Below are 12,463 nucleotides of genomic sequence, written 5' to 3'. Positions count from 1 at the left end.
CACCTCTTGTGTCTAAACTGCTTTTGAGATGACTTTCTGGCTCTTTGCCTCCTGTGTTTGAGTGATGCAACTGTGTATTTTTTTGTAGATATGTTCGCAGATACTCTCCGGGATGTTTAGGTTCTCAGGAACACCTGCTCCTTGGCTGAGCACCATGACCTTGGCTGACTGCCCACCCTTCAAGGTTCAAGCAGCGGACATACACCCTTAAATAACCTGGTGGGGGACCGGTCACCCTACACTTTCTCCTTTAGCAAATGCTGAAAGTTATGGTATTGGGGGAGTGAGAGGGTTGGAGAGGGGTCCTTCCATGGTGACACTGTCTGCTCTGCTCACATTCCCCAGGAATATGGACACTCCGGAGTGCTACTTACAGTGGGACCCATGAGGGGAAGAGCAATGAGCTGGGGGAGGCCGAAGACTTGGGGTTTGTTTCTAGTGTCCCCTTAAATGGAGAGAAGTAACTTGGGACATGGACGTAAGGGACATTAACTATTCCCTCATCTCTTGTGCCTTAGGGATAAAAATGGCTCTGCCTCCTACTGGCCTGGTGGCAGTAGACTATCCAGAATTCTTGATATCCCCATCTCCTGGAAACAGTACTCTTTAAGACCAATTTGGCTCTGGAATTTCAAGACCTTCAACCTTAGTGCAGAAGGGTTGGTTTTAGCTTGTAAAATAATACATTTTGAAGGTAAAGATGACAAACCAAGACTATTTTTTCTTCCAATTTCAGTAGACTTAGCTAAAAAGATCGTACCTGTATAATTTGCTTTCTTATTTCTCCAAATGAAATGTGTGCAATTCAGCGCATGTTGGGTGAACTGAGTTGACCTTTGGGGCTCTGGAATCTTCTGTCTTCTTTCATCTCACCTAGAGTAAGGCCAGGATGCCTTAGGAACATGTGAACTATACTCTGGCAGAAAGATCTTGCAAAGAGCTTCTATTTTTTGTCCATTAGGGATGTTGAGGTGTTTATAGCCTCCTTTCTGCATTCTAGTAAAAGATAATTGCCCATTGTCCCCATACAATAAATGTTAACTTATCTGCACATTATTCCATTATTTTATTTTTTTTTGAGACAGAGTCTTACCCTGTTGCCCAGGCTGGAGTGCAGTGGCACGATCTTGGCTCACTGCAACCTCCGCCCTCTGGTTTCAAGCGATTCTCCTGCCTCAGCCTCCCAAGTAGCTGGGATTATAGGTGCCCGCCACCACACCTGGCTAATTTTTGTATTTTTAGTAGAGACAGGGTTTCACCATGTTGGCCAGGCTGGTCTCAAACTCCTGACCTTGTGATCTGCCTATTTCAGCCTCCCAAAGTGCTGGGATTATGGGCGTGAGCCACCGCACCTGGCCCTGCACATTATTTAACAAAAAGGAGGCAAATGAACATTTATACAGAATTAAATTCAGAAAGCCAGTTTATATAAATTGTGGAAGGAAGGACAAAAAGAGGATTTTCTTCTTTCTTATTCATGTATGCAGACTGGGAGTTTACAAAAAGGAAGTAAAAGACTAAGTTTTTTGTTTGTTTGTTTGTTTTTGGTACTTTCAGTCTTGTTGAGTTAAAGTTTACCCAGTTTCATACTTAGTTTTACTATGGTGCAAAACTTAAGTTGATGTACGCAGGTTTTTTTCTTTCTACAGATGTATTTAGAGTGTCTTTAGAAATATATTAATCTCATTACCAGTTTTGTTAGTTTAAAAGAAGGGCAAAGTGAGGCTGTATATTAAAACAATCATTTCATCAAGATAGAGGGTGAAGCTCTGTTTCATCTTAATGATAAACTAAAAACTTTAGCCAAATTAAATTTAAAGAAGTTTAACTGAGCAATAAATGATTCCCGAATCAAGCAGCCTCCCAAGCCGGAGTAGGCTGTGAGACTCCAGCACAGCCATATGGTGGAAGATTTATGGACAGAAAAAAGAAAGTGAAGTACAGGAAATGGAAGTAAGGTACAGAAACAGCTGGACTGGTTACAGGTTGGCCTTTGCCTTCTTTGAAGAGGATTCGAACATTTGGCTACATTTGATTGGCCAAAACTCGGTGATTGACACTAGTATGTAGGTACGGTCTGTTTACACCTCCACTTGTTAAAGTTTACGATGTACAGAAGAACATTTAGGTCGAACTTAAAATACGTAAGGAGGCAACTTTAGGCTAAACTTGATTTAACATTAACAATGAATGATGAATTATGGCTGTTTATCTTAGCTGGTTGAAATTGCAGAGAAAATCCTGAGGAAGCTAGTGGGCTATAAAACAATTTAGAAATTGACTGCTTACGACTTTTTATGAGAGCTGAAAAACCTCTTGTATACTTGGCAACCTTCAAATGTTTATTAGAGTAATATGTGTCTAGATTTGGTTCCCTGCTGCAAAGTTTCTAGAAGAACTGGAGAAGTTAGAAAAGAGCAAGAAAAATGGTCACAAGAACAACTAGGCTGAAAATTGCTAAACAAAAGGAAATGAACTTAAATGTCAATGAATTGACTAAGAAAAGTCACAAGATGGTAGAGTGACCATCAGTGAAGACTAGAAAATGCTAGTTAGGCAATGATAGATAGGGTGGGCCACTAATGCATCTCATTTCCTGAAGAGGGTCTTGTACTTGATGGTCTTTAGAGAGCACCTTTGTTATGTTATTTTGCAATGAACCTTCTTTACCTCAACGGAAAGTACCAAGGGTCTCACGGGCATTTCAAGAAATGACTTGCAGGATTTTAGAAGATTGCCATTTGCTTCGTATTAGATGGAACACGTTCTTAGGTGATTTTTTCTTTTCTTTTTTCTTTCTTTCTTTTTTTTTTTTTTTGAGACACAGTCTTGCCCTGTTGCCCAGGATGGAGTGCAGTGGCACGATCTTGGCTCACTGCAACCTCTGCCTCCCGGGTTCAAGTGATTCTCCTGCCTCAACCTCCCAAGTAGCTGGGATTACAAGCACCTGCCACCATGCCTGGCTAATTTTTTTGTATTTTTAGTAGAAATGGGGTTTCACCATGTTGACCAGGCTGGTCTCAAACTCCTGACCTCAAGTGTTTCACCCGCCTCAGACTCCCAAAGTGCTGGATTACAGGTGTGAGCCACTGTGACCAGCCAGCTGCTTTTTTAAAAATAAACTTTTAATTTTGTAATATTTTTAGATTTAAAGAAAAGTTGTAGAGATAGCCAGGTGTGGAATGTGAACCCAAAATATCTGAGACAGCTCTCAATCAATTTAGAAAGTTTATTTTGCCAGGTTAAGGATACACCTGTGACACAGCCTCAGGGGGTCCTGACGACATGTACCCAAAGTGGTCAGGGCACAGCTTGGTTTTATACATTTTAGGGAGACATGAGACATCAATCAATATGTGTAAGATGTACATTGGTTCTATCCTAAAAGGTGGGACAACTCAAAGCAGGGGAGGGGGCTTCCAGGTCATAGGTAGATAAGAGACAAATGTTGCATTCTTTTGAGTTTCTGATTAGCCTTTCACTGAATACACAATTTACATGTGAGGGGAGCATAGAGGAACAGTCACTTTTGCTTAGTCTGGCTTAGTGAAACCATAGGGCAGAGGAAGCCATCCGGTATGCATTTGTGTCACGTGGGCAGAGGGATGGCTTTGAGTTCTGCCTGTCCTTTGTCCACAAGGAATTTCCTGGTGGGCAGATTGTGAGGTGGTATGTAGCTATTTTATCTTTGTAGCTATCTTATTTAGGAATAAAATGGGAGGCAGGTTTACGTGATGCAGTTCCCAGCCTGACTTCCCTTTGGCTTAGTGATTCTGGGGTCCTGAAATTTATTTTCCTTTCACTGGAGGCACGTGTTTCTAAGCCCAGCTACATGGGAGGCTGAGGCAGGAGGATCCCTTGAGCTCAGGAGTTTGAGACCAGCCTAAGCAACATAGTGAGACTCCCATCTATTTAAAAAAAAAAATTTGTAAAGATAGTATGGAGAGGTTTCATATACATCTCACCCTGGTTACCCCAGTGTTATCATCTTACATAACTATGGTATATTTGTCAAAACTACAAAACCAACATTGGTATATAACCATTAAACTTCAGAATTTGAATTTCACCAATTTTTCCATCAATGTCTTCTTTCTATTCTGGGATCTCATACCTTACCTTGTAATTCCCCTGTTTAAAGTGTACAGTTCAGTTTTTTTTTTGTTTGTTTGTTTTTTTTTTTGAGATGGAGTTTCGCTCTTGTTGCCCAGGCTGGAGTGCAAATGGTGCTCTCTCGGCTCACTGCAACCTCCACCTCCTGGGTTCAAGTGATTCTCCTGCCTCAGCCTCCCAAGTAGCTGGGATTACAGACATGCACCATCATGCCCAGCTAATTTTTGTGTTTTTAGTTGAGATGGGGTATCACCATGTTGGCCAGGCTGGTCTCGAACTCCTGACCTCAGGTGATCCACCTGCCTTGGCCTCCCAAATTGCTGGGATTACAGGTGTGAGCCACTGCACCTGGTGCAGTTCACTGTTTTTTAATATATTCACAAGATTATGACAATGGTATTGAATTTTAGAACATTTTCATCCCATCTAAAGAACCTTGGATCATTAGTAGTCCTCCTTTCCTCCCAGATTCTGCCTCCCTATCCCCCCTTCTTCCTCAATCCTGGCAACTACTGATCTACTTTCTCTCACTCAGTTTGCCTCTCCTGGACATTTAATATAAACAGAATCATACAGTATGTGGTCTTTGTGACTAGCTTCTTACATTTCCAAGGGTCTTTGGTGATTTTTGATTGGGTGCTTATGTTCTGTTGTGCATTATCTGTGGGAATATTTTGAGACCAGATTTAAAGTGGAATCCTTTTGATAGAATTTGGGCTTCTGCAGCTGAGGTATTCCCAATCCAGGCTCACTTAAATTGCATTTGCTGCTTTGGATTTTTATTGGCCACACAGGGCATGTGAGTTTAGGCCCCCGAACTCTCATTCTCACGGGAGTCTTTGTACTTTTTGTCCCTCTGTCCAGAGCCAAGGCCCAAATAAGAACACATCTGCTGTTTCCCTCTGTGGGGAGGGCCTCATCCCTGTGAGGTGTCTCCCTTCAGAATTTAGGAGGGGTCCTGGCTTTGGGATAAATCTTAGCTTTATGCACAACCTTCCTTTCTTCCTTCCACCTCTCCCTTCTCAGCCTGCTTTGTCTCCTTTGCCCAAACTCTAGGTCACCTGGATGGGTATATACCCCAGGGAAAAATGCCAGCTCCAGGCGTGCTTGTCTCTCTGATTTTTGCTTTTTCTTGCATTTCTGGCATCTGAGGAATCTTCTTATTTTCTGACAGTTTGGTTGTGCATGAAAATCATCAGTGTATCAGTATGAACTCATGTTTAGTTTAATATAGATACAGATGGTTACATATAAACATATTTATAGATCTGTGTATATTCAAGGATTAGTGCACATGCACACACACACACACACACACACACACACAGGCAATTTATTTTCCTGTCAGCTGAGAGGTCTACAAGAAGTGACACTCCATTAGCAACGAGTACACTTAAGCCTGGATCTTGGTTTCTAAGACCATTTTCCAGTAAAATCCAGGCTTTTTGGAGAAATGCTTGATTCTAGGATTGGGCCAGAATATATACAAGGTGAACCTAGAACATTTTATATGGTAGAGTGTATGGAAGAATTCCAACTGAAAAACCAAAAGTCATAAGAGTATGTCAAATGGACATAGGAGCCAACTGAAACTGCTGTCAGTGGCCAAAGCTGGAACAGTCTGAGCAACAAAGTAAAAAAGCATTCGATTATGGAAGTATAGATTAGATAGAGAAGTCTAGGCTGGCACGGTGGCTCATGCCTGTAATCCTAGCACTTTCGGAGGCTGAGACAGGCAGATCACTTGTGCCCAGGAGTTTGAGACTAGCCTGGGCATCATGGCAAAACCCCATCTCTACAAAAAATGTAAAAATTAGCCGGGCATGGTGGCATATGCCTATGGTCCCAGCTATTCAGGAGGCCATGGTGGGAGGATTCCTTGAGCCTGGGAGGCAGAGGTTCCAGTGAAGCCATGATTGAGCCACTGCACTCCAGTGTTGGTGCCAGAGCTAGATCCTGTCTAAAAAAAAAAAAGTCTAGATTATAGATCTATAATCTATAGGTTATAGAAATTTTGGGTTATTACTCAAAGTATAAAATAAACATCTGTGAGTTCATACCGATATAAATAAATGATTGAATAGGCAAATAAATAGAGAAAATAGACAAATCTCCCTGTGGAAGAATTGCACATAATTATGTAGACACTCACCCTTAAGAAGGTGGAACATAATTCTCCACTCCTTAAATGTGAGCTGTGCATAGTGACTTCCCTCCAGAGTACAGTATGGAAAGGGGAGTGGGGAGAATAACTTTCCAGTGGAGAAACCTGTTAGACACTACCTCAGCTGAGTGATCAAAGTCAGCATCAACAGTGGTAGCTCTGTGGATAGTGTGTTACCCTTAATATGATGTGGTGAAAATGGCACTTTACATCTGTGGTCTTCCTTGCAAAAACCCATAACCCTTAACCCCTGTCTCTGAGAAAAACATCAGAGAAATCTCGATCGAGGGTTTCTACAAAATACCTGACCAGTACTCTTCATAACTGCCAAGGTAATCAAAAACAAGAAAATTCTGAGAAACTGCCACAGCCAAAGAAGCCTAAGGAGATGTGACATGTAAATGCAATATGGTGACCTGGATGGAATCCTGGAATTAGGTAAAAACTAAGGAAATCTGAATAAAGTTAATATATCACCATCGGTGCATTAACTGTGACAAATATACTATACTAATGGAAGATGTTAATAATAGAGGAAACTGGTTGCAGAATATATGGGAACTCTGTGTTATTCTAATAATTTTTCTGTAAATTTAAAACTATTCTAAAAATGCAGTTTATTTAAAAATGCGTGCTTTTTTTTTTGGATCACTGGTTGTGCAATTTATGTAAACATTGAGCTTATAATATTGTCAGAAATAGACATTGAGGCCGTCCATTTAGAGAATTTCATAGAAGAATGGAAAGGTCATATGCAGTTACACTGTTATATGTTTGTGATTAGATTTATTTATTTTTTAAATTTAGCTTTATTCAAATCTTTGCATGTATTCTAATTCATTTTCAGTAAAGATACAAAGGATTGGCTGGGCGCAGTGGCTCACACCTGTAATCACAGCACTTTGGGAGGCTGAGGTGGGCAGATCATGAGGTCAAGAGATCGAGACCATCCTGGCCAACATGGTGAAACCCCATCTTTACTAAAAATACAAAAATTAGCTGGGTGTGGTGGCGGGTGCCTATAGTCCCAGCTACTTGGGAGGCTGAGGGAGGAGAATCTCTTGAACTCGGGAGGCAGAGGTTGCAGTGAGCAGAGATTGTGCCACTGCACTCCAGCCTGGTGACAGAGCGAGACTCCATCTTTAAAAAAAAAAAAAAAAAAAAGGATTTTTGGTTCCTCTTGACTCTTTAGGCTCCTCACAGGTAATTTTCATGAATGGTTTTCTAATAAGAGAAGTATTTTTCTCTGCCCATAACATCAAACATCAAAGCCATACCCAAATGAAAATCTTCATGCATTTACCATTGCTCACCAAGGTAGTCTCTCATTAAGTTCCGACCTTGGAAATACTATTCTGCCTCTCAGGTACCGGATTCAGTCTCTCCTTATTACAGAATCATACTAAGCATATCTTGTTTAAGCCAGAAGAATCCATGCAAAAATCTGCTTATAAGAAATTATAGGCCGGGCGCGGTGGCTCACGCCTGTAATCCCAGCACTCTGGGAGGCCTAGGCGGGCGGATCAGGAGGTCAGGAGATCGAGACCATCCTGGCTAACACGGTGAAACCCCGTCTCTACTAAAAATACAAAAAAATTAGCCGGGCGCGGTGGCGGGCACCTGTAGTCCCAGCTACTCTGGAGGCTGAGGCAGGAGAATGGCGTGAACCCGGGAGACGGAGCTTGCAGTGAGCCGAGATCTCGCCACTGCACTCCAGCCTGGGCGACAGAGCGAGACTCCGTCTCAAAAAAAAAAAAAAAAAAAAAAAAAAAAGAAATTATAGCATACCAGCTGAATAAAAGTAGACAAAGCTTCAGATCCAGGTTGTGTAATTGATGTTTGGGTTTCCTCCTGAGGTGTGTCCTGTGAGCTCACCTTGCTATGGTAATGGGGAAAACACTGGCATAGGACTAGGAAGAGCTGGGATCTAGGCCTGGAGCCAGTATTTATTAAGCGTGTGACCTTGGGCAAAATATTTAAACTTTTGGAGCCTGATTCCTTATCTGCAAAATGAGCTAATCATACCTACATGAAGGGGTTGTTATGAATATCAGATGAGGTTGGGGAAGCGTGGGAAAGGTTTTAGTGCGCTCTTTAGGCAACAGATAGGCGTTGTTTCCTGTTATTTCCCATTGCCAGCCCCATCACATTTTTGAAGCCAGTAGAGAAAAGGTTTCATTGTTACAGCACTGAATGTCAGAAATACACATTTTCTGTCTTGTAGGACTTTATTTCTGATGGTCTAAGTTGGACAATTGTCAGACTCCACTGAAATGTCTTGGTCTTAAATGTGTTCTTGGGACTCTCTTAATGAATAGATAGGATGCCTGGGCAGTGAGGAGGGTGTGGGTGGTGTTTGGAAGGAAAATTTGGTTTTTAGTTAGTAGCTGGAAGAGAAAGAAGAGACTCAACTTGGAGGATAACAAGGGGATGATAAAGTAACTTCAGTTACTTTAGGGCAGAAAAGATGAGGCAGAAGGAGGCAATAAGTGAGAAATAGATGACAGATGGAAAGAAAAAAATTTTTGACTGTTGTGAAATGGGAGGGTGGAAATCTAATCTGAAATGCAAATAAGTTTAGTGTACCCAGGAAGTGTGAAAGAACCTTGCAAAGGAATGACTTTTTATCAGGTAAACGTTAGTTCTTATCAGTGGAATGGAAGGTTGTTAGTTTGGGTGTATTCTTAGTCACTTGAGTGGCTTCATCTGTGGGAATTAAAAAAAAGAATTAGTAGTCTTCTAAAACAGATGCTGAGCCACAATGTTTACTTATTTTCCAACTGGTTGGACATGTAAAAGACATAACTTCTTTCTGTCTCTTCCAATGTAAAGGAAAATATGCATAACTCCTGAAAAGGTATGGGCCATAGGTACCCTTATTTGTTCTATCATATGGGAGTATTTCTACCTTTAACTTCCAGTTATAGTACTTTATTAGTACTATAATAATATAGCTTTATTAGTACTATAATAATATAGCTATAAAAGCTATAAATATGCCTTTTAAAATTGACTGCTTCCTATATTATTATATCGAGCTAAATACATGGGTCATCTCATCTCTGCAATTGCCCTGTTGGGCTTGTCCAATGTGGTGAAATGACCCAGGGGACTTATTTTGCTGTTCCGTCTGCAGTAGGTGATACTGTGGCAGGCAGGTGGCCATAGTGGTCCACTCTGTGCTGGTCAAGTCATAACTTTCCCAAGTGTTCAGTGGCTTAAAGCTGGGTGTTAACTTTTAGGAGGGACACTGGCAAACTGAGGTGTAGCCGAAGGAAAGTGAGCATGAAAGTGTGGCCTTGAACCTATTTCTTATGAGGAGACATTGTTGGAGGAAGCGGGGGATGTTAAACTAGAGAAAGCCTTCAATATAATATTGTCTTAGTCTTTTTCTGCTGCTATAGCACAATGCTATGGCCCGGGTAAATTGTAAACAATAGATGTTTATTGGGTTCACAGTTCTAGAGGCTGGGAAGTTCAAGAGCATGGTGCCAGCATTTTGGCAAGGGGTCATCCCAGGGTGGAAATTAGAAGGTGGAAGTGAGTGTGTGAGACAGAGAGGCACCAGGGGCCAGACTTGCTTTATAGCAACCTGTTTTCGAGATAACTAACCTGGATTTTACAGTAATGACATTAATCCATTCTGCCCTCATACACTGGTGCATTGGGGATTAAGTTTCCAACACATGAACTTTTGAGGGACATATTCAAACCACAGCAGATATGATAGCAATTATTGGCTGTTTGAGGAGAATAATTATTCTGTGTCCTTAGCAGAATTAAGCCTAATGGATGGAAACTTTAGGAAGGTAGGTTTCAACTCATCATAAAGTAGAGTTCCTTATTAATGAGATTTGTGTAGATCAATTCTGATCACTGCTGGAGTTGATGAGTCCCCTGTCCCTGGTGGTGGTCAGGCAGAGGCTGTCTGGTGATGATTGCCATTGACAGAAACTACTTCCTGGCTGCCTGATATCCCTACCTATCTGCCCGAAGTTCTGCTTTTTATCCAGAATCGTCTACGATTCTTGTTTTAGTATTAATTGACAAATAAGTAAGTGGTTTAAGCAGTGGCCTTTCTCAGTGGGCACTTAAAGATAGAAAGATTCCTAAATGTGAAGCAGTAGAGGAATAGATTTAATTATGGTATACTCAAGCTATGGAATTATATGCAAGTATTATAGAAAATGAGGCCACATTGAAAAGTATTAATCATACTGAGTGAAAAGAACAAGTGGTAGAGCAGTGTGTATTATGACCTCATGTCCCATTAAATTTAAAACGTAAAAATACTTTATCTTCCTATCTATGTAGTTCTGAAATGGCAGTCATTAAAATAAAGACAGAGGTTATGTTGGCCGTGACTCTCTCAATCACCTGGCTTACTGGGGAGGGTGAAGAAGACTTTTACTTTTTGATATTTACATTTATATTTTTTAAACAAGCATAGTATTTTCATATTTAAAAACTTAGAGCGGCCAGGTACAGTGGCTCATGCCTGTAATCCCAGAACTTTGGGAGGCCAAGGTGGGTGAATCATGAGGTCAGGAGATCAAGACCAGCCTGGCCAACATAGTGGAACTCCATCTCTACTAAAAATACAAAAATTAGCCAGGCATGGTGGCGGGTGCCTGTAGTCCCAGCAACTTGGGAGGCTGAGGCAGGAGAATTGCTTGAACCCAGGAGGCGGAGGTTGCAGTGAGCCGAGATCGCATCACTGCACTGCAGCCTGGGTGACAGAGTGAGACTCTCTCGAAAAAGGTAAAAAAGAAAAAATTAAAAAAAAAAAACTTAGAGCTTTCACAATAGCCAGGATATAGAATCAACCTTAGTGTCCATCAACAGATAAATGAAGGAAATGTAATACATAAATAGTGGAATACTACTTAGCCTTACAAAGAAGAAAATCCTGCCCTTTAGTACAACATGGATGAACCTGGGGGACATTATGCTAAGTGAAATAAGCCAGACACAGGTAGACAAATGCCATGTGATCTCACTTGGAAGTGGAGTCTTAAAAAGTTGATCTCATAGAAGCAGAGAGTAGAGTGATGGTTACCAGGAGCTAGGGTTGGGAAGGTGGGTAGGGATATGTTGCTCAAAGGGTATAAATTTTAGTTAGAAAGAATAAGTTCAAGTGATCTATTGTACAACATGGTGATGATAGGTAAAATAATAATGTGTTGTATTCTTGAAAATTGCTACCTGAGTATAGTGGTGCATGTCTGTAATCCCAGCTATTTGGGAAGCTGAAGCAGGATGATCACTTGGGCCCAGGAGTTCAAGGCTGTAGTGTGCTATGATCGCACCTGTGAATAACCACTGCACTCCAGCCTGGGCAACATAGTGAGACCCTGTCTCTTAAAAAAAATTACTTAGAAAGTAGATTTTAAGTGTTCTCACCACAAATAAATGATGTGTGTGAGGTAATACATATGGTACTTAGCTTGACTGAGCCATTCCACAATCTATGTGTATTTCAAAATGTTTTTTATTCAACTGAAGAGTAAGTGAAAATATGAAAATTAATTTATCCCAATTTATCCTTCAGAAGGAGCCAGGTAGATGGAAATGATCAAATGGTAGATGAGTCTCAAAATGTCCTAAGGACCTAAGGCATTCTTAGGGGGTGCAAAATGTCCATGGTTTACAGCACTGATTCTGAAAAGGTGATCACCATCAGGATCTTCTGGGCAGCTCTTAAACACATGGGTTCCTGGGCTCTGTGTGTGATCTTTCTTAGTTGGAATTTTCTAAGAATTCCAAGACTCTGAGGGAATATAAAGAAGGAATCTACCCCTCAGGAACTGAGAGGTGGGAAAGGAAGAAACTGGTCAGGCATGCATTTAGGATGGGTCCTTGGTTGAGTTCTTTCAAACAAAAGAACAACCTGCAGGCACAGATAAAGGAACTTGCACAGGGGGCTTGCCTAAGACATGCCCACAGCCACACAGATAAGAAAGACTACACAAGTGACTGGCCCAGACATACCCACAATGGAAAGTTCCATCCCCTGATACATATGCAGTAAGGGGAACAAAGCAATATGGAGTAACTCAAGCTAGGGGCCTGCATGTGCATTAGGAGGAGGGCATGGAGCTACCAGAAATTCACACCTTATGCAAATGAGACACCCAGCCCTCATCAGTTTCTTATAAAAGGCTTTGCATTCAACTGTAAAAATGG

The 12,463-nt window shown here is 41.3% G+C and overlaps 1 protein-coding gene across 5 annotated transcripts in view, besides 2 other annotated features; it reads left to right on the top strand.

Moving 5' to 3' along the window:
• The window catches only part of MBOAT1 (membrane bound glycerophospholipid O-acyltransferase 1), a 112,786-nt gene that overhangs the window by 11,424 nt on the left and 88,899 nt on the right, over positions 1 to 12,463 (top strand). The window lies entirely within an intron of this gene.
• Positions 3,416 to 3,465: an enhancer, noted in NCBI's record as "active region_24123". NCBI's record gives its function as "activates an Ori minimal core promoter by ATAC-STARR-seq in GM12878 lymphoblastoid cells {active_cell/tissue: GM12878}" and the evidence as "EXISTENCE:reporter gene assay evidence [ECO:0000049][PMID:35858748]".
• Positions 11,882 to 12,383: an enhancer, noted in NCBI's record as "NANOG hESC enhancer chr6:20188894-20189395 (GRCh37/hg19 assembly coordinates)". NCBI's record gives its function as "activates a minimal SCP1, AML or CMV promoter by ChIP-STARR-seq in naive H9 embryonic stem cells {active_cell/tissue: H9 hESC(naive)}" and the evidence as "EXISTENCE:reporter gene assay evidence [ECO:0000049][PMID:30033119]".

Source organism: Homo sapiens, chromosome 6 (assembly GCF_000001405.40).
Source record: "Homo sapiens chromosome 6, GRCh38.p14 Primary Assembly".
NCBI lineage: Eukaryota > Metazoa > Chordata > Mammalia > Primates > Hominidae > Homo > Homo sapiens.
The sequence above is the reverse complement of the archived record's forward strand: the minus strand, read 5'-3'. Positions and strand labels throughout refer to the sequence as shown.